Source organism: Homo sapiens, chromosome 9 (genome assembly GCF_000001405.40).
Source record: "Homo sapiens chromosome 9, GRCh38.p14 Primary Assembly".
NCBI classification, from domain to species: domain Eukaryota; kingdom Metazoa; phylum Chordata; class Mammalia; order Primates; family Hominidae; genus Homo; species Homo sapiens.
In genome coordinates this window covers 126017723-126039910 of record NC_000009.12, presented here as the reverse complement: position 1 = coordinate 126039910, position 22188 = coordinate 126017723, and the positions used below count along the sequence as shown (strand labels likewise).

Below are 22188 nucleotides of genomic sequence, written 5' to 3'. Positions count from 1 at the left end.
AAAAGTGTAACGACTGCATGGCAATCAAGCTTATTATTATTTAAGCACAAGCTATTACCATGTGCAATGAGGTATCAGCCAATAAATTATCTTTGAAAGAGTCAGTCCTTGTCTGAACACACACAGGCCATTAAAGGCTGCCACCGGGGAGGTTGTGCCAATCGCTTTCCTGGCCAGGTGAGCTGCCCCAGCCCGGGGAGCTGAGGCTGGGCCTTCCTGGTCCTGTCCCTCTGGCTGGCCTTGAACCTGCCCGTAAGACCCTGGCCTGGTCTCAGGCCCCCAGGTCAGGATCTCGGGGTCGCGGTGAAGGGATCGTGGGTGTCTCCACTGGCCATTCCCCCTCCATCCCTCAATCCAGCCCATGCTAAGGGGAGGAAACTCAGCCCCAAGACACAGACTGGGGACAAAAAGGTGTCCCTGATAATTAGGAAGCAGAACAGAGAAAGGAGAAACAGGGTGTTCAGGGTAGGGAGCGGGCTGAGATGGGGCAGAGGGAGAGAGACAGAGGGAGAGGAGGGGAGAATCCTCAAGAGACATGGGGAGAAGGAGTTAGAGACAGAGGCTAGGAGGCAAGGGACAATCCGAGGAGCAGAGAGCAAGATTCACAGCAGACAAGACGGAAACAACAAAAGAGAGGGCAACAGAACCCAGAAGGCCAAAGAGAAGTAAGGAGGGAGGCAGACCAGACAGGCCCCCTCAGAGCCACTGTGCGCCAAGGGCTGGGAACCACAAGCCACTGGCTCCCGGAGAGACCAACCTGCCCTGTTTGTCAGGGACTGAGGAATTTGCCAGGTTAGGGGACTGTCCATGCTAAAATCAGGACAATCCCAGATAAACCAGAACAGTTGGTCACCTTCTTTGCAGAGTCCTCACGGAAAGCAGCACTGTTATCTCCACTTGACAGGCAAGGAGGCTGAGGCCGGGGAGGTAAGGTCCTTTGTTTGAGGCTATGCAACTGCAAGGTTGGGAGCCACGGAAGGTCAGAAGTCAAAGGAGCCAGAGGCAAAGAAACACAGAGACAGAGAAGGCAGGAAAGGGCCTGAAAGCACAAAGCCAGGGGATGAGACTGGTAAGGGCTCTTATCTCCTGCTGCGTCTCAAGCTCAGCCTTCTCGTATCTCCCGAAGCTTTGCCTCACCTTTCTGCCTTCTTCTGTCTCTCTGACTCTCAGCCGCTGGCCCCCACCCCCTGCCCTATACACCTTATTTCTCCTTTCTCTGCCCCTCTTCCTATGCTTTTCACATTTATTATTATTATTATTATTATTTGGTAGAGACAGGGTCTCACCGCATTGGCCAGGCTGGTCTCAAACTCCTGAGCTCAAGTGATCCTCCAGCCTTGGCCTCCCAGAGTGCTGGGATTACAGGGGTGAGCCACCGCTCCTGGCCTTTTTTGTTTTTTGTTTTGTTTTGTTTGGAGATATGGGGTCTCGCTCTGTCACCCAGGCTGGAGTGCAGTAGTACAATCACAGCTCACTGAAGCCTCAACCTCCTGGGCCCAAATGGTCCTCCCACCTCAGCTTCCTGATTAGCTGGGACCACAGGCACATGCCACCATGCCTGGCTAATTTTTTTTATGTTTCATAGAGACGGGGTCTCACTATATTGCCCAGGCTGGTCTTGAACTCCTGGGCTTAAGTGATCCTTCAGCCCCCCGAAGAGCTGGGATTACAGGTGTGAGCTGCTGCACCCCACCCCTCTTCCTAATTTTTAAGGCCCCCTTTGTGTCTCCAGTCTCCGGCCTGTGCTAGCTTCCCCTGCTTTCCATGGGCTGGAGTAGGTGGAGACACCATGCTCAGATGTCAGCAGCATTAGGACAGGACACTTGTCAACAAGAAGCTCTCAGGATCCTCAGAGCCACCAAGACTGCAGACAGCAGCCAGAACCCTCCTCCCACGGGGCTTCGGGGCTGACCGACCTGGGTTCGAGTCTGAGTTCTAGCATGGACGCACTGAGTGATCTGAGGCAATTCTTAACCTGCCACACTTCTCTCCCCATCTGGAAAATGGAGTGATCATTTTACAGATGGAGTACGGCATGGGCTTATTGTAAGGATTTGTTGACCTCGGTGGATATGTCCCCAGTGCAGAGGCTAACCCCAGGCAGCTATCTTGGGACAGAAACTTCCCCCAGACCAGGGCAGCTGCCCTGTCTCCTGGACACAAACCCTCAGTGAGTCTCTCAGCCCCAGACAGAGCGAGAGGGTGGACCCACAGGGGCCTTGAGCTGGGACAAGATGACCAGGGAACACAGAGAGGGGACAACAGGAGCCTGACTTCAGAGCCCCTTTTCCTCCCTAAAATAAAGACTTTCATTTGGCATCTCCCAAGAAACTCAAAATGTACATCCTCTTCTCATATCTGAGGCTGAATCATAATTTTTTGTTGAGTAAAAGTCTAAAAGGATGAATAAATTCATTAACCAGAAGGTCAGTGTTTTCCAGCTGGCCTCTCGGCACCAGGAGCCTTCCCTGCTGGGCAGGGAAACGCAGCCTGCCATAAACTTCTGTCCAAGTTCCCTGCAGACCGACTCCCTTGAAAGTCACCTCCATCTCTCTCACAGGTCAGGCCAAGATTTAGAGATAGGGGCCACGTGTGTGCCTAGATCTGCTATCTGCCCGTGAGTGATGGGGGACACATTCCGGGGACATGTTTACTGTCACCCCGCGCCCCCTGGCCCGAGTTCCCCGCCGAGCCATCCCCTGATAATTCACGGCCCGGCTCCTATTGGCAAATGACTGATACGGCCTTCACAGCGGGGCCTGCTGGTCACTTTCTCAAGGAGACTGGGAAGGAAACTCAGGCACAATATAAATGGGGCCCGTGGCAGCCTCAAACACCTTGGAAAATTCCCCAGCCCGGACGCTGCGCCGTTTTTAAGTAATAAAACCACAGAGAGATTACATGGCTGCCTGACAGCCTGCGACGGATGGCCGCCTGCATGAACTTTTTACCTTCGGGATGGGGACCAGAGGAGAGGAAGGAAAAAAAAGAGAAAACAACAACTGCCCAGCAAGCAGGCTCCTTCCTCACTGTGGCTCAAAAGTCACTGCCATGGCAGCGGCCAGAGTTGCACTCTGAGTCCCCAACTCAGTCATCTGGAGGGACTCCAGCCTCTCTGGGGACCTTGGGCTTGGTTTCCCCACCTGGAAAATGGGGATATGGATGGCTGGTTTGTTAGATTTCCAGAATTCAGAAGCGGCCCTGAAATAAATGTTTACAGGATTAGGAGTGTAATCCTTGCTTTCATTCATTTATTCACTTTTCTTTTTTTTTTTTTAAGATGGAATCTCGCTCTGTCGCCTAGGCTGGAGTGCAGTGGTGTGATCTCAGCTCACTGCAGCCTCGACCTCCTGGGTTCAAGCAATTCTCCCGCCTCAGCCTCCTGAGTAGCTGGGGTTACAGGTGCACGCCACCACGCCTGGCTAATTTTTTTTATTTTTGGTAGAGATGGGATTTCACCATGTTGGCCAGGCTGGTTTCAAACTCCTGACCTCAGGTGATCCGCCCTCCTCAGCCTCCCAAAGTGCTGAGATTACAGGCATGAGCCCGCACCTGGCCATCTATTCATTTATTCTTTGATTCAACAAGAATTTGTCATCGTGCCCGTTTAGCAGTGGAGGTGGGGACAAGAGGGTGACAGGGTGAGGAGGTATGGGCAATCTCTGGGAAACAACTGAGAGATACTCAGTGTAGGACTTACCAGCCAGGTGACCGTGGGCAGGTCACACCAGCCCTCAGAGCCTCAGTTCCCTCATCTGTCAAATAGGATCATAGTGGTACCTCCTTCAAAGTGCTGTGATGAGGAGGCAGGGGATCCCACCTGACAACCCCTTAGCACAGTGCTTGGCACATAGTAGGTGCATGCCAGGCCCGGCCATCAGCCCCTAAGTCATTTGATTAGGTTGGTGCAAAAGTAATTTCGGTTTTTGCTGTTAAAATTGCAAAAACAGCCTTTACTTTTGCACCAACCTAATATCTTTTTGTTTTGTTTTGTTTTTTGAGACAGTCTCACTCTGTCACCCAGGCTAGAGTGCAGTGGCACCATCTTGGCTCACCGCAACCTCCGCCTCCCGGGTTCAAGCGATTCTTCTGCCTCAGCCTCCCAAGTAGCTGGGATTACAGACACCCACCACCACACCTTGCTAATTTTTGTATTTTTAGTAGAGATGAGGTTTCACCATGTTGGCCAGGCTGGTCTCGAACTCCTGACCTCAGGTGATCCACCCACCTCGGCCTCCCAAAGTGCTGGGATTACAGGCGTGAGCCACCGTGCCCAGCCGCGCCAACCTAATATCTTTGAGGTTGGAGAGTCATTGTGCAAATCTGGCCTCTCAGAGTCCACCCTAAAGACCTGTACTTCCCAAGCTGGGTATAAAACCATGAACCTATCTGGACAGCACAATCTAATGCTCCATGGTCCAGCAAGATTTTCACTTCTTTGCAGAACAGTATTTCCCTGGCCCGGGATGCTGAGCTCTTAGTGTGATAGATTCTTCTTCTTGCTCTTCATGGATAAATAGTAATCATAGGATCTACCGCTTATGGAGCAGCTGCTGAATCCCAGTCATAGCTCCGATGCTTCACATATATTTTTTGTCAGGACCTCAGTTCACCCCAGACGATACCAGGCGTGTGTTGGTATGTGCCTAAAGGAGTTAGCAGTGGTGTTTGGACTAGTGCATCAGTAAGGCTACCCAAAGAGAAAAAGGAAGATGATCCAACAGTAGACCAAGAGGCTGATCTCTGTCTCACCCACAAGCAGCTTTATCTTGCCATCTTAGGATGCTCTATGCGTGCAGGAAGGAAGGAGGGTGTTGGAGTGGCAGGAAATCTGAGCCTGAGGCTAGCAGGGAACCGCTCCCTAAGGAGACCCCCTTGGCATTGGTGGCTCTGAGCCTCCTAAGCTGGCTGCCCTCCATCACCCCTCAAGAGCCACTCTCTTTTCTGCCCTGCTCTATGGGCCTTCATGGATGGCATCCAGCTGTCTTGCCCTCTGGCTGTCAGTTCAGCCTATGGGAAGCACTGGCAGGAGATGCGGACAGGCACTGGGGACAAGGATTGGGGCATTTATTCCCCCAGCTCTATTCCTGCTGGGCTCTGGGTTGGCAGTGCCTCATTCCTCTGCAAGAGACACAAGACCCACCAGGAAAACCCTTCCCTTCAGCTACTGCTAAGGGACAGCCCTCTGCTCTTTTCCCATGTCCCTCAGCCTAGAGAGGAATGTCACTTCCCACGGTTGGGATCTCAGACCATCCACATTGGTCTCCTCTGAGCCTGCCCATGCCTTTCTAAGTAAAGCCTCATTAAAACCTCTTCAACTGCTAGGTGTGGTGCTCGTGCCTGTAATCCCAGCACTTTGGGAGGCCGAGGTGGGAGGATCACTTGAGCCTAGGAGTTCAAGATCAGCCTGATAATATAGTGATACCTCAATCTCTACAAAAAATAAAGCAATTAGCTGGGTGTGGTGGCATGCACCTGTAGTCTCCGCTACTTGGGGGGCTGAGGCGGGAGGATCACTTGACCTCCTCCAGGAGGTCAAGGCTGCAGCAAGCTGTGATCACACCACTGCACTCCAGCCTAGGCAACAGAGCAAGATCCTATTTCAAAAAAAACCCCACAAAGCCAAAAACCTCTTCACCTGCCATCAGCTTCCTGCCAGGGTGTTGGCTGCTTCACCTGGGAGGTGCAGAACTGAGCCCAAGGCAAGGTGGGAGCTGTGCCTCTGATGGGAGACCTGGAGGGTTCACCATCTCCCCAGGCCTGCAAATCCCCGAGGGCCCTCCAGGGTGGGGTTGTTCCCAAACCGTGGTCAGTAGGGCCTGAGGCTGAGGCCGCAGTGAGACTCCCACCCATCACATTGGCACAGGACCAAGGTTTTGTCCCACCCCAGCCCTCTGCAGTGACACCCATGCTGTCACCGAGGAACCCCCAGTCCTTTGGAATTTCAAGGGAGCAAGGGGTGGTGGAGAAGCTGACATAATCCTGCAAGACAGAACCTGAGCAGACCCCTGGACTGCAATTAAGAGAAGCATATACACACGAAAGTCAGGGGAAGTAAGGAATTCACTGGAAGCATAAAGGGGAATCTTCTAGAACCTAAAGATGGGAAGCGCAGCCAGGCCTGGTAAGGGACTGGAACTGGGTCTGAGAGCTGTGGGGAGCCCCGGAAGCCACGTCCTGTCTCTCCCCGCCTCTCTCAGTCTCCGTCGCTGTCTCTCTCTCCTCCCCTCTCTGCCCTCTGCACCCTGGGTGTTTCTGCTCCTCTGTGCCCATGTGCCAACTCAGCACCCTCGGGATCTGCCTGGAGGGTGTTCTGAACCCCAACTCCAAACCAGGACTGTGTCACGTGCCTGCCTCTGATCCAATCTGCTGTGGCAAGGCCAGGGTGAGCAAGCCCAGGGTGGCCTGTGGGTGTGACTGGTCCTCCGTGCCTGCCCCTGCAGGCTCTTGGGGAGATGCAGGAAGGGGCTGGATGAGGAACCATGGTGAACACCCATCCCCAGGGAGCCTCAACCCTTCAAGTCAGGCATTTCCCAGAAAGGCCGAGTCCTCCCAAGGGCCTGGCAACTGGGATGCAGGCTTCTCTAAGACAAAGGTGGCAGTAGTGGCAGGCAGCTAATGGCTCTGCAGGAAATGCAACCTGCGGAGTTAAACCCAAGAAAAGAGCCATCAAGGAGGATCAGGCCAGGAAGTCGGGCACAGGCATTAGAGGGACTGCCATACGCCACTTGTGAAGACTTATTGGCAGATGGGAAAAGATGTCCAAGGTTGGCCTGGCACGGTGGCTCACACCTGTAATCCCAGCACTTTGGGAGGCCAAGGCAGGCAGATCACCTGAGGTCAGGAGTTCGAGACCAGCCTAGTCAACACGGTGAAACCCCGTCTCTACAAAAACACAAAAAATAGCCAGGCATGATTGTAGGTGCCTGTAGTTCCAGCTACTCAGGAGGCTGAGGCAGGAGAATTGCCTGAACCCGGCGGGGAGGAGGTTGCAGTGAGCCGAGATCATGCCACTGCACTCCAGCCTGGGCAACAAAGCGAGACTCTGTCTCAAAAAAAAAAAAAAAAAAAAATGATGTCCAAGTTTAAGTAGAGAAACCAGTAACACCATCTAGGGGTTCAAAGGGGGCTCAGGCCATTCTTCCTCGCCTCTCTGTGTGACATCAGCAAATTTTTAACTTATCTGGGCCTCAGTTTACTCATCTGGAGGAATGGAGATAATTCAAGTATTCAGTAATTATTAGTAGAGATGATGAGGAAAATGGCAAACATATCATGTTCTAATACAATTATCTAGCATTCCCTAGGCTATTATCTGCAGAACATTGTTCTCAGAGAGTCTATGTGATCAAATAAGTATGGGAAACTACATGTGATATGGTTTGGCTGTGTCCCCACCCAAATCTCAAACTATAGCTCCCATAATTCCCACGTGTTGAGGGAGGGACCCAGTGGGAGGTAACTGAATCATGGGGTGGATCTTTCCCATGCCATTCTCATGATAGTGAATACTCTCACGAGATCTGATGGTTTTATAAAAGGGAGTTCCCCTGCCCATGCCCTCTTGTCTGCCGCCATGTAAGACGTCCCTTTGCTCTTCCTTCGTCTTCTGCCACAATTTTGAGGCCTCCCCAGCCATGAGGAACTTTGAGTCCATTAAACCTCTTTCCTTTATAAATTACCCAGTGTTGGGTATGTCTTTATTAGCAGCATGAGAACGGAATAATACAACACGCATACTCACAAATGCACACTGACGTGTTAAAGGCTCTGAGAAGTCCTGCGGTAACGAAATCTGACTTATTTCAGTCAACCAATGTTTTCCAAACTTACTTGAGTATAGAACCATTTTTTCACAGGATCCTTATTAACATCAATAAACCATTAGGGAAATGTTGGAACTATGATCCCATTTTAATCATATGTAATAAAACATGGTGCATAGACTTTCACGTGCATTTGGGTACTGGTTAGAACTCTTGTTTCAAACAACAGACCCTCTCTAACTGACCTGGCACAAGGAGGATTTTTCCCCCGGGACATGGGGATATCAAGGCACCCCGGAGAGACAAGAGCTGCAAGCTAGACAGCCTTCAGAACTGGCTCTTTCCCTCTTCCCCCTCCTCTTTCTGAGGTCCAGCTCTCAGGGAGACGCAAAGGCCCTACTCCCAAGGTCTCCAGCTTTGGTCCTGGCCCCTGAAGAGACCTCTTGTCCCAGGCCCGTTTGGGGTCTGATATTCATCTCTGATCCAATCCGCCTGGAGGGTGGGGAAAGCAGCACATGGGATAAACTGGACTGCCAAGGATTCCCCCAGGGATGGGAAGAAGGTTTCTGGAGACAGAGGAGGACCACCACTCACTGCTGGGTGGTCACCCCCTAGATGGACTCTGCCAAGTGAAAGGACTTGGGCCAGGGCACCAGAAGAGACTCCTTGGGAGATGGAGGCATCAGAGACCCCAGAACCGCCTGCTGCCAGGAGCGCACTTCAGCGTGCCTGCAGCCCCTTCTTTAGACACAGGTAACAGAAGCGCGAGAGGGAGGCACAGTCCTTCCCTTCCGTCTCCTCCACTTGGAGATGGAGAGTTTGGCTACTTCCTCCCCAAGTCCAAGGGCATCTCCCCTCCAGCCCAGGTGCCTGCAAGAAGGGGAGACCAGTTTTCCTGGCCAAGTGCCTGACCACCAGCCTGGCTTCCCCTGCACGCATGGAGTCCAGGAAAAGGGCTTACGGCTGAGAGGGTAGGGCTTGCCCAGGGGGTGGGTACGAGGACTACCTCCAAGTGCCCAGGCCTAAGCTCTGCGCCTAGCTGCAGCAGGTGCCCCCAGGCCCAATAGCTGAGGACCACCAAGGCAGAGCAGTTTTAGGGCCACGGGATTGAGGGGGCTACCGCAGCCTGGGGAAGAGGGACTACACAAAAGGACTCAGCAGGAAGCTGCAGCTGGGAGCCAACCACAAGGTGTGGCTGAATCATGAGGGGCCAGCAAGGCCTGAGAGGGAGGCCAGCGGGAGTCCCTGGCTCACCCGGGAGACCCTGTGGAACGGCCGTCCACCCAGGGACAAGTTGCAAGTTGCATCAGCAGCCAAAAGCCCCAAAGAGGCTGCACCAGCCCTGTCTCCCCAGTGCCAGAGCCAGACACTTCCAGGAAGGAGTGGGGAGAAAGGGGGCATCTCCCCCCCCAGGCTGCTAGACTGTGGACCAGCCTGCCCCCCAAGGCAAAAGTGTTGCGGGGGTCGAAGGGACAGGAGGACAAACTTTGAATAGAATGTGGGGTTGGAGTTTTAAAATACATGGGACTGAGTCTTCGATGCCAGAATGAGCCAGTATTAATAACCCAAAGTGGAAAATTATGGAATCGGACTGAGATGTCATTTATGGACTCACCACCCAGCAGGAAGGGAGAGAGGGTGGTTTAGAGAGAGCAGAGTGTGGCAGTTATTGGGAAAAATAAAATCATTTCATGTTTATACCCCTAATGAGTGCAGACGCCTCTAAACTGGTTACACTTGATTTTTTTTTCCTTTATGCTTTTCTGTATTTTCTAATTTTCCTGCAATGAACACGTATTACTTGGGTAATCGAGAATAAAAAGCTTTAAAAGGAGTCAGGTGGGGAGAGTCTGTGAGTCCCTGAGCATCGCACAGCTGCGTGTTTCTGGGCACAGATTCTACTGGCCAGGTTCCTGGGGACCCCAGGGGAGGGACCAGGACACCGAGGGTAACATATGCCCCAGATGTGCCCCCAAAGGAGGCTGGGAGGCAGGAAACCCAGGCAGCAGACCATTCTGCCATCAGGCAGGCGCCATGGTCCCACAGCAGGCTGGAAAGTTGGGAGGAGGTTATTAAGAGTCTCAGGTTGACAGCCCTGTGCAGGGCTGAGCTAGGAGCAAGGCTTCCGTTCTACATGTGGGGTCGTGGTACCGGGGAAGTTCTGAGGGGCTTGATTTGCATCCTGCCCCACCCTTTACCAGTTGGGGACACCAGGCCTCCCCTCAGAGGGCAGAGTGAAAACTGAACAAGGGAGTGTCCATTCCTGGTCTAATGAGAATTGGGGCCGGACACAATGGCTCACGCCTGTAATCCCAGCAGTTTGGGAGGCCAAGGCGGGTGGATCACCTGAGGTCAGGAGTTCGAGACCAGCCTGGCTAACATGGTGAAACCCCGTCTCTACTAAAAATACAAAAATTAGCTGGCGTGGTGGCAGATGCCTGTAATCCCAACTATTCGGGAGGCTGAGGCAAAAGAATCACTTGAACCCGGGAGGCAGAGTTTGCAGTGAGCCAAGATCGAGCCACTGCACTCCAGCTTCGGTGACAAAGCAAGACTCCATCTCAAAAAAAAAAAAAAAAAGAATTGGGTGGGGTGGGGCAGGATATCAGGGGCACTCGGAGCCTCAGCTGCTGGTAGGACCAGGCCATGTGTCTGGCTCCCAAATGGGCTGGTTTCTGACAAACTCCCCTGGTCAGGGTGGGCTCAAGCACAGATGGAAAAGGGGTCACTAGGACCACAGACTCAGGAAGCACAAAGGCCTAGCTCTGAATCCCAGCTCCACCGTGGCCCTGTGACCCTGCATGAGAAGCTTTCCCTCCCAGAGCCTCATTTTCCTCATCTGTAAAATGGGTATAATAGTGGTAACCTACCTGTGGTAGATTGCATTCGTGGGCCCAGTTCTTCACCTCTCCTGGTAGCCGCACTCATTGCATGTGACTTTGCCATGTCTCTCGCTAAAGATTAGGCAAGGAATTGTTTCCACATTTCACTTTAAACTTAGGGTCTGACTTGCTTTGGCAACAGAATGAGGAAGAACAGAGGAGAACCACTTTGGGGCTTAGGTCTCAAGAGGCCTCGGGTGTTTCCATGTGCTCTCTGGTGCCTCCGCCATCTACCTGAGAAGAATGTGCCCCTGCTGGTGCTGGTCCCAGGAAGAGGATGGAACCCGTGGATCAGAGCCTAACTGCCCCAGCTGGGCCCAGACAAGAACAGCTAACTTGGCCGGGCACAGTGGCTCACGCCTGTGATCCCAGCACTTTGGGAGGCCGAGGCAAGCAGATCACTTGAGGTCGGAGTTCGAGACCAGCCTGGCCAACGTGGTGAAATCTCGTCTCTACTAAAAATACAAAAAAAAAAAAAAAATTAGGAGGGCATGGTGGTGGGCACCTGTAATCCCAGCTACTCAGGAGGCTGAGGCAAGAGAATTGCTTGAACCGGGGAGACAGAGGTTGCAGTGAGGCGAGATCACACCATTGCACTGCAGCCTGGGTGACAAGAGCAAAACTCTTTCTCAAAAAAAAAAAAATTACAAAAATTAGCCGGGCATGGTGGCATGTGCCTATAACCTCAGCTACTCAGGAGGCTAAGGCAGGAGAATCACTTGAACTTGGGAGGTGGAGGTTGCAGTGAGCCGAGATCATGTCACTGCACTCCAGCCTGGATGACAGAGTGAGACTCTGTCTCAAAAAAAAAAAAAAAAAAAAAAAAGATCAGCTAACTCCCAGGCAACCTGGGAAATAAATGATCACTATTTTAAGCAGCTGCTTTTCGGGGTTGCCTGTTATGCAGCAGTCTGTGGTCATAGCTGACTAATACATTTCCTCGTGGGGTCACAGTGCCTACAAAGGCTGAGCTCAGTGTAGGGTGAGTGCTCACTAAATGTTCAGCTGCTTTTATTGTGATTATTATCATTGTTATTACTATCAACTCTTGGAGGGGAGGAAGGCCTGGGGGGCAGAGATCGGGAGATGAGAGCTCTGTACAATTCCCACATTCATCAAGTCTGCCCAGAGACAGCTCCAAGCGACAGGTTCCTACATCTAGGTGGTTGCTTTTATTGCACTTTTGAAATCCATTCCAATTAGAGAGTGAGATTGTGGTTCCTGCTATCCCAGACAGGGCTGAGACAAGCAGGGCTCAGGACCCCCAGGCAGAGGCTTAAGTATTTTATAATAATCATATTTCTTATGAAGCTTTAGTTTCACTTTCTTCAAATTAAGTCTCAGCAATAAAGCAATCGATTCCCTCTCCTGGAAAACGGTGCTGAATTCCACCTGGCACCTGCCGGAGCTCCCCTCCTCTCCCCTCCCTGCAAGACCTTCGCCCTCTGATCCTGGGTGGCTGCAATTTGGAGGCCCTGTATGTGTGGTTGGCTGACCTCAAGGACCTTGGGGAGTGGTCTCCCCAGCCACGACTGGCTGGAGGGAAGGCTCTGTCCTCAAGCCACCTCCAGGGCAGCTGAAGGAGTTTCCAGCCAGGCCCCAGGTGCCAGGGGAAGTGGGATGCTGTGGGGGAAGGGGCTGGAGCCCATGCTGCCTGTTTCCTGCTGGCTGTCCCTCATCAAGGCACCCAGCCAGGAGGGCCCTACTTGGCTTTAGGAATCATCCATGGAGAAACCAAAGAAGTAAGATGCCACAGTCCTAGCTTTGGTGTCAAACCTCGGTGCAAGAACTCAGCAGGGGTGATTGGAAGGCAAAAGAGAGAAGGCAAAACACCTCTCCAGCTTGCTCCCCACCCATCTATCCCCTGACCCCACTCGTGCCCCCAGTGGAGGCAGACAGCAGGCAAGAGCAACCTGGAGGAAAGAGGAGAGGGGTTGGTTGTCCTCCACACGCTGCTTCCCCTACCCACTCTTCTCCAAGAAGATTCCTGGGTGAAGTGGAGAAAAGTGACCCAAGACCTCAAAAGATGGGTTTGGGGTCCCAAAGAAGAGAAATTTGGCGCCTCCTGGGTCCCACCGGGATGCCCACTCCTAGCAGCCTCTTGTGAGAACTGGAGATCAGAGGAGGTCACAAGGACATTGGGGGAGGTAGGTGAGGAAGGGAGTAGGGGAGGGGAGGAAGAGGGAAGCAGCTGAGGAAGGACCTTGGAGGCGAGGATTAGAGTGAGACAAAATTTAAGGGGTGTCAAAAACTCAGCAATTTTTTTTTTTTTTTTTTGAGATGGAGTCTTGCTCTGTTGCCCAGGCTGGAGTGCAATGGTGTGATCTCGGCTCACTGCAACCTCTGCTGCCCGGGTTCAAGAGATTCTCCTGCCTCAGCCTCCCGAGTAGCTGGGATTACAGGCGAGCAGCACGCCTAGCTAATTTTTGTATTTTTAGTAGAGACGGGGTTTCACCATGTTGGCCAGACTGATCTCGAACTCCTGACCTTGGGTGATCCACCCGCCTTGGCCCAAAGTGCTGGGATTACAGGGGTGAGACACCACGTCCCATCCAAAACTCAGCAATATTTTTAAAAATCAAAATGAAGCCAAAAACCCATGACACCAGCATCAAAAACACATAAAGTCCGGCGTGATCTGAGTCCCTACCCTGACGCACACCAGGAGGAGCGGTTTCTAGTCCGCCCTGGTGCACACAGTCAGGTTTTCTGATTGCAGTGTTTTAATCAACCTTGTCTGCTTGGTTCCACATATGGAAGCTTTTGATAAGAAGCTTAGCACCCGCCCCAAGAAGAGGACGGGGGACAAGCAAACCTATTCCTATGATGAACATTTCCACCAGACGGAGAAATCCTGAATTTGACCAGCTTTACCTGGATTATATTTTTGGCATCAGGAAGAATAAGGTCTTGTTCAAAATGAAAGTAGTAGGGAAAATGAAGAAAGTAGAGAAGCTAAATGATTGGGCACTGCGTCTGCCAGGCCCAGTCCATGCACTCTGCACAGTGTCTGACTTGAAGCCCACAACACCTGCAAGAAAGGAGCACTCACTGAGGCCCAGAGAGGTTAAGACACTCACATAAGGTCACACAGCCTGGAAGTGGTGAAGTCAGTGTTCAACGCCGAGACCCCACCCATAACCTCTTCTCCACATGGCCTCAAGTGACATCGTTATTCATCTGAGTGTGTGACTATGAAGTTCAGCCCTACTTCACAGGTCCTGAGCAAGGACCCAGAGATAAATGGTTTTAATAATATGGTACCGGCTGGCCGGGCGTGGTGGCTCACGCCTGTAATCCCAGCACTTTGGGAGGCCGAGGTGGGTGGATCATGAGGTCAGGAAATCGAGACCATCCTGGCTAACACAGTGAAACCCCATCTCTGCTAAAAATACAAAAAATTATCCAGGTGTGGTGATGGGCACCTGTAGTCCCAGTTACTCGGGAGGCTGAGGCAGGAGAATGGCATGAACCCAGGAGGCGCAGCTTGCAGTGAGCCGAGATCGCGCCACTGCCCTCCAGACTGGGCAACAGAGCGAGACTCGTTCTAAAAAATAAGAAGAAGAAGAAGAAGGATATGGTACTGGCTGTGACGGTGTTGGTAGGTAGCGGGAGCAGGGTTTGGTGACAAAGCCCCTCATGCCACAGACTCTGACATTCACGGGTGATTTCTTCTCCAAACAGCTCGTGAGTGCCTACTGCATGCCAGGCTCCGAGCTAGGTCCTAGGGGTTCAGCAAGGAGTTAGATCCTCTGTGGACTCTGCAGGGCCCAGGAGGTTGTTGGGGAGAGAGAAACAGAATGGATTACGCGTAATCCTACCATTGCAAACGGTGCCAAGGACTGTGAACGCACAAAAAAACAGGGTTCTGGGAGGGCCTATTAGGGTTTCTGACTCAAAGACAGACTGGAGGCTGAGATCTTAAGGTTGAGGAAGAGGAGCAAAGGGAGGCAGAGAACAGGAGTTGGGGCTGCTCACGGGCACAGCCCACCACGCAGGCCGTGGGGAAGGCATGGTGAGGAGCTAGTCTGTGTCCTGTGAGCCATGGTCAACCCTTCTGTGGTCACAGCAAATCAGGGGCCAAGCTGCCAACAGCTTCCAGGCCTCTGCTACCCTGCTCTTATCCACAGGGGTCTAGATACCAGGTGGTCCCTCAAGGACAGAAGGGGCTCCTGGACCGTCCCAGCCACAGGCTCGTCCCACTCTCCTGGGCAACATGTCCTTCCGTCTGTGGGTCTTGCAGCCACCTGAGCTGTCCCCATTGGACGGACCCGCCCACTGTCTCTCCGTGGGGCTCTCCCCATCCACACCACCTCCTCCGGGATGGGAGGCCACCAAGAAGTCACCAGGAGGCTCCTGGGGAAAACAGACCCAGGCCCAGCTCTGCCCACCAGCCCCTTCCCAGACTCTTGTAAACTGCAGACTGTAAGGGAGCAGCCCCCAGGGGCTCAGAACGGGGAGTATCCAAGGAGGAGCAGCTGAGGCACCCCTGGCAGCCCAGCTTCTGTGGCCCCCGCCCAGGAGGGCAACCCAACCCCTGGCCCCCAGGCAGGGCCCCTCCTCCCCAGCTGGAACCGAACCAACCCACCGGCCACCATGAAGGGGCTCTCCAAGCCAAGGATGTGAGTGCGTTAATTAATGAATTAGCCGTTTAATTAACATAATTAGGCCTCATTATTTTCCTTGCATCTATCGTCAATTTTCGGGCAATTAAAGTAAATGCTGGTGGAGACGGGAGGATCTGTGTTGTCACCACCGGCACGGGGTGGAACTGCCAGGCCTGACCCCACCCTCCGGGCACCAGCCCAGCCTTGGGGAAGAAAGGCAACAGGAAAAGGAGACTGCACACCTGCACGCACACACACACACATACACGGATGCATGCACATATGCACACACTCACACACACATGAATGCACGCACACATGCATACACACATGCATGCACGCACACACATGCATGCACACACACATGCATGCACAAGGCTTGCACACACACATGGATGCGCGCACACACACATACATGGATGCATGCACACACGCATACACACATACATGCATGCACACACGCATACACACATGCATGCACACATGCACGCATGCACACACAGGCGTGCACACACATACACACAAATGCATGCACACATGCTTACATGCATGCATACACGCATGCATGCACATGCGCATATACACATGCATGCACGCACACAGGCGTGCACACACACACGAATGCACACACACGCATACACAAATGCATGCACACACATCCATGCATGCACACATACACATGCATGCGCACACACACATATAAAAATGCATGCACGCACACATGCATACACACATGGATGCATGCAGGCACATACACCACACCCCGAGATGGAGGGCCCCCAAGTTTACGGATCACTTTCCATTCACCCATTGAGCTCCTGTGATGGGCCAGGCACCTGCAGTTGTAACCAAGGCAGGCAGGGACATTGAGGGCTTTTAAGGTAGACCCGCCTAGGAAACCACAGCCATCAACTTCACCAAGGAGAGACCCCAGCCCTGCTTCAGGCCAGGGAGTACTAACAAGCACACCTTGAGCCACCCTCGTCCTTGCAGGAGTATGTCTCAGCGTCCCCTCTCCTGTCTACGCAAACTCGCAACTCAACCAGCCTGTCCAGGAAAAGTTTATCCGAAAGCTTGTTTTTTACAACATGGTGGTCTATCCTAGAGCCCTGTGGCATTCCAAGAGAGACCTGCCTTCATGGAAATATGTATTCCAAAAGTCAACCTGTTTGGGAAGTTGTTCAATAGTCTGAGTACTCATCCCCTTGACTCTCTTCTCATTGAATTTCACCACCCTCATCCTGCTCACAAGGGGAGAGGAGGGTAAAGACTTTGCTCAGATCGAGGGGCATCTGCCTGGGCACTTGGGCACTACAGGGTTTGCCCACCTGTCTCTCAGGTGTGCAGTTGGGTTCAGGGACCTGGGTGCAGGGTTCTGTGTTTCTCACTGTTTAATTTTATCTGAGTCCACCCAGCCCATCACCCAATATGCTCAGTATTTTTTATTTAGATTTGACTTAGAGCTAATCAATTCTACTTTCTCCCCTCCAACAAGTTCCTGAAACCTGTTCCTACACAGACACACAGAGGTTCTTGACATAGCTTCTATGTTCTCATTCAAATCACTGATGCAATTGTTGAATGAGGTAGAGCCCTGTGGCCTCCCACTAGAGACTGCCCCTAGATCTGCAGTACCTCAACTGAGGATGTATCCAAATCTGGGTAGGGTGAGGGTTGACTTTTTTTTTTTTTTTTTTTTTAGATGGAATCTCACTCTGTCTCCCAGTCTGGAGTGCAATAGTGTGATCTCAGCTCACTACAACCTCCGCCTCCTGGATTCCAGCAATTCTCCTGCCTCAGCCTCCCGAGTAGCTGGGATTACAGGTGCCTGCCAACACACCCAGCTAATTTTTGTATTTTTAGTAGAGATGGGGTTTTGCCATTTGGCCAGACTGGTCTTGAACTCCTGACTTCAGGTGATCCACCTGCCTCAGCTTCTCAAAGTGCTGGGATTACAGGCATGATACACCATGGCGGCCAGGGTTGACTTTTTCAAACTGCCTCCCCTCTTCCTATTCCACGTCACCAGCCCATGACAATCATATCCTCAGAACCAGGTGGCTGATGTGAGCAGAGAAGAGGTTGTGACCCACAAGTCTACACTAAACCCATGGCCGTAATTAGCATCCCTGGGCCCAGCTGCCCAACCACCACTGAAGCCCCAGGCTGGGGGCTCATCTCTAGCTCTCCCCAGCTGTGTGGCCTAAGACAAGTTCCTTCACTTCTCTGAGCTGTTTCCTTACCTGTAAGATGGTGTCTACCTCATGCATTGTCGTGAGGATCCCCAGAGATGCTGCATATCACAACCAGCACTCAATTGAGTTTGTCTCAATCCCTTTCCCTCCCTCAGATCCATCAGCTGCCAACCCACGGATCATTCTCGGCCCACTCATTTATTCCATGGCCACTCGCAGTGTTGGTGAGTTTCTTCCCTGTCTCAGGATCTCTCCATCATGAGTACATCTCGCCTCATCTCCCCTGGTAGGTCTTATTATTAACCCATTTTGCAGATGAGGAATTGAGGCTGAGAGAAGTGAGGTCACATGCCCAGGAGCACAGTCTGTGAGTGGCAGATCGGGACCCAAAGCCAGCTCTGTCTGCCTCCAGAGTAGGGCGGGCAGGACCTCCTACACCCAGGCTCTGTTCCAGGACAAGACTGGCAAAGCCTTCTGCCTTGGAGGTGTGTATTCTAGCGAGAGAGATCCAAACACATATAAAATATGATGTGATGATGGACTTGGGGCTTCCAAGAGAAAGAAAGCAAATAATCATAGCAGTGGGAAAAGGAGATTAAGGGTGCTGGGAGGAACCTCCAGGACCAGTGTTCAGGGACGGTTCTAAGGAGATGCTACTGAGCACGGGAAGGGATCAGAGAGGGAAGGGTGTATCTGCAGGTGCAAAGGCCCTGAGCCTGCTGGAGGAAGAAGATGGGTGGGAGAGACCCACAGGCCCAGTCATGAGAGGCTAGTGGGGTATGGCCGGGATTTGGATCTTGTTGGGATCAGGAGGTTGGAGCTGAAAAGTGCCTGCCTTATCTGATGAACACTTAGAAAGAACCTTGATGATGGCCAGACGCGGTGGCTCACACCTGTAATCCCAACCCTTTGGGAGGCTGAGGAAGGCGGATCACCTGAGGTCAGGAGTTTGAGACCAGCCTGGCCGACATGGTGAAACATTGTGTCTACTAAAAAAAAAACCCAAAAATTAGCCATGCGTGGTGGCACATGCCTGTAATTCCAGCTACTTGGGAGGCTGAGGCAGGAGAATCGCTTGAACCCGGGAGGCAGAAGTTGCAGTAAGCCAAGATCACACCACTGCACTCCAGCCTGGATGACAGAGTGAGACTCCGTCAAGAAAGAAAAGAAAAGAAAAAGAAAGGGAAGGAAGGAGAAAAGAGAAGAGAAAAAAAGAAAAGATGCCTGCTGCTGAGTGCGGACTAGACCGTGGGCTGGGGGCGTGTGGAAGCAAGGTCCAGCTGCCAGGCCATTGCAGTCGTCCACACAGACGCGAGGGTGGCGGCTGTGAGGTGTACATGGATTCTGGATATATTCTGAAGGTAACCCTCGCAGGACTTGCGGACTGAGCCAAGAATGACCCCGCTTCAGGGGAGAGCAAGGACAGCCTGAGTGGAGAGGGTAGAACTGGAGTGGAGGCAGCAGGAAGGGAGGACAACTCTCTGGGGAGCAGAGAAGTGGTCACAACAGGAGGAGGTCAAAGGCCCCAGGGCGGGTTTTGCTTACAGCATGAGAGTTGTCCCATGTTTGGGGCCGATAGAAGTGATCCAGTCCCCTGCAGGGCGCGGTGGCTCACGCCTGCAATCCCAGCACTTCAGGAGGCCGAGGCAGGTGGATCACTTGAGAGCTGGAGAGCAGCCTGGCCAACATGGTGAAACTCCATCTCTACTAAAAAAAGAAATACAAAAATTAGCCTGGTGTGGTGACAGGCGCCTGTAATCCCAGCTACTCAGGAGGCTGAGGCAGGAGAATTGCTTGAACCTGGGAGGCAGAGGTTGCAGTGAGCCAAGATGGTGCCACTGTACTCCAGCCTGAGTGACAGAGCAAGACTCTGTCTCAAAAAAAAAAAAAAAAGATGAAATAAAAAAAAGAAAGAAATGAAACGATCCAGCCCCCTGTAAATAAGACCCACGATTTGAATGATGTACATCATTCAATTTATCTAATTTACATTTCAAACCGTCCCTTCATCTGTCATCCCAAAAAATAATCTTGCTTTTTACCCAACTGATAATTCCAGCGTTTATGCATCAGCTAGTGGCACCAGCTTGTTCCAACGGTGTCCCTTGCAGTCCTCCCTGCATTTCACGAGGACAACATGCAAAAAACTGTTCTAAACCTTTGTAAGTTCATGAGTCTTTTCATGTTGACTTCATAATTTTTTTAGCATATAAATGCTAATATTTTTAATAAGCTTGCCAACCTAGGGGTAAGAAACATATGATCACACATTTGAGATGCAGATGAAGATCCCAGGCTGTAAAAGCGGTCCATCAGCCCCTCCACAGCTGGAGTCAGGCATCAGGCATCAATCATGAAAGCAAAAAAACAAAGTTAAAGGATGAGAAGAAAAATGCTGGAAGTAGAGCATCAGAAACTGTGTATAAAAGGGAAGTAAAATTTAGGAATTCACATATTTGTTCGTTTTCAGCTAGCCAAACTCTCTCATTTATAATGTGATAGTTTAACTTTTGCACAAAAGATGTTCGTTTTTAAGGTGATTTTTTTTTTTTTTTTTTTTTTGAGACAGGATCTCCTTCTGTCACCCAGGCTGGAGTACAGCGGCATGATCACGGCTCACTGCAGCTTCAACCTCCAAGGCTCAAGCCATCCTCCTTCCTCAGCCTCCCTAGTATCTGGGACCACAGGCACATGCCACCATACCCAGCTAATTTTTGTATTTTTTGTAGAGATGGGGTCTCCCCCGTGTTGCCCAGGCTGCTCTTGAACTCCTAGGCTCAAGCAATCCTCCCACCTCAGCCTCCCAAAATGCTGGGATTATAAGCGTGAGTCACCGCACTGGGCCAGTATTATTAGTATTATTTTTTAAGCATACTTTTTATTGAAGCATAACACATATACAGAAAAAAATGTCAACCTTAAGTGTTCAGCCCAAAGAATTCTAACAAAATGAACACATCCCTGAAGCCAGCATCCAGACCAAGAAGTTTACCACCACCCGCTGGACCCCGGAACCCTCTTTCAGTCACCATCCCCAGACACAGCAGTCACCCGACTTCTACCATCATAGAACCCTCCATAATGAAGCCAGCCAGGGCACAATGGTTGGGGCGGCCACTTTCTCTTCTGTTGTGAGGCTCATCCATGGTGTGTCCCATGTGCGCGGAGCCGGTCGTTCACGCTTACGGCTGCAGCATTCCCCTGAGTAAACATCTACATTGTTTTTTGTTGTTGTTGAGACAGAGTCTCGCTCTGTCACCCAGGCTGGAGTGCAGTGGTGCGATCTCGGCTCACCGCAACCTCTGCCTCCTAGGTTCAAGCGATTCTCCTGCCTCAGCCTCCCAAGTAGCTGGGACTACAGGTGCCCACCACCACACCCAGCTAATTTTTATGTTTTTAGTAAAGATGGGGTTTCACCGTGTTGGCCAGGCTGGTCTCGAACTCCTGACCTCAGGTGATCCGCCTTCCTCCGTCTCCCAAAGTGCTGGGATTATAGGTGTGAGCCACCGTGCCTGGCCTACATGTCGTTTTCATCCATGCTACTGCAGAGGGGACTTGGCCCAGTGTGGGGCTCACTTGGATAGCGTCGCTGAGTCTCCTCTCGGTGTGTGTATGTGCTTTTAGGGCCATGTGCACATAACAACAGCTGAGAACCTCTGTATTTAGGAAGCACTGAAGGTTCATATTCTCAAAATCCACACCCCAAAGCAGCATCGGGCCTGTCAGGTTTTGGGGTGCTCATGTCCCACTTGCTTTTCTCGTATCTTATCAAGTTTTCAACAGGGGATAATTTTGCCCCCCAGGGGACACTTGGTAATGCCTGGAGACATTTTGTTTGACACAACTCGGGGGTGCTAGTGGCATCTAGTGAGTAGAGAGCAGGATGCTGTTAGACATCCTACAATGCCAGGACCCCTCCACAACAAAGAGCCACCCGGCTCCGATCGTCAATAGTAATGCGGTTGAAAAACCCTGCTTTAAAGGGATAAATGGGCCGGGTGCGGTGGCTCACGCCTGTAATCCCAGCACTTTGGGAGGCTGAGGTGAGTGGATTACTTGAGCTCAGGAGTTCAAGACCAGCCTGAGCAACATAGACAGACCCCCATCTCTACAAGAAAATATAAAAATTAGCCAGGCATGGCGGCGTGCACCTGTAATCCCAGCTATTAGGGAGGCTGAGGTGGGAGGATTGCTTGAACCTGGGAGGTGGAGGTTGCAGGGAACTGAGATCAAGCTACTGCACTCCAGACTGGGTGACAGAGTGAGGCCGTCTCAAAAAAAAAAAAAAAAGAATATACAGTTTATGATACCTATATAAAGATTAAGCAATACGATAAGTTGGCAATTTCGATTACCAAGCTTATTCCAAAAGTAACTTTAAGGTGACAGACATGTGGTTGCCAGAGTCATACAAAGTGTAATGGAGGCTCCAAGGAAGAAGCTACTGGAACCCAGACAAATGAAGAGGAAGAGATGAGATTAGCCCTGGGTGTTCACGGTTGCGTAGGAGCTCACCTGGTTTCAGGGAGGGAAGGGCATTTATGAGCAAAGGCACAAAGGTCTGGTGGGATCTCAGAAGAGGTAGGCCCATGCTCCCTTGGAGCAGGGAAGGCTTCTTGGCAAGGGAAGCTTAGAACAGATTGAGAGGAGCAGTTCTCTGGAGGCAGCACCAGCCAGCCAGGACCAGGGCATGGGTGGACTGCAGTGTCCCAGAGCCCGACAAGTTGGGAAACAGGAA

The 22188-nt window shown here is 51.7% G+C and overlaps 3 annotated features.

Annotated features, from left to right (window-relative positions):
- Positions 8357-8961: an enhancer, noted in NCBI's record as "H3K27ac-H3K4me1 hESC enhancer chr9:128793229-128793833 (GRCh37/hg19 assembly coordinates)". NCBI's record gives its function as "activates a minimal SCP1, AML or CMV promoter by ChIP-STARR-seq in primed H9 embryonic stem cells {active_cell/tissue: H9 hESC(primed)}" and the evidence as "EXISTENCE:reporter gene assay evidence [ECO:0000049][PMID:30033119]".
- Positions 8962-9566: an enhancer, noted in NCBI's record as "H3K27ac-H3K4me1 hESC enhancer chr9:128792624-128793228 (GRCh37/hg19 assembly coordinates)". NCBI's record gives its function as "activates a minimal SCP1, AML or CMV promoter by ChIP-STARR-seq in primed H9 embryonic stem cells {active_cell/tissue: H9 hESC(primed)}" and the evidence as "EXISTENCE:reporter gene assay evidence [ECO:0000049][PMID:30033119]".
- Positions 15320-15819: an enhancer, noted in NCBI's record as "H3K4me1 hESC enhancer chr9:128786371-128786870 (GRCh37/hg19 assembly coordinates)". NCBI's record gives its function as "activates a minimal SCP1, AML or CMV promoter by ChIP-STARR-seq in primed H9 embryonic stem cells {active_cell/tissue: H9 hESC(primed)}" and the evidence as "EXISTENCE:reporter gene assay evidence [ECO:0000049][PMID:30033119]".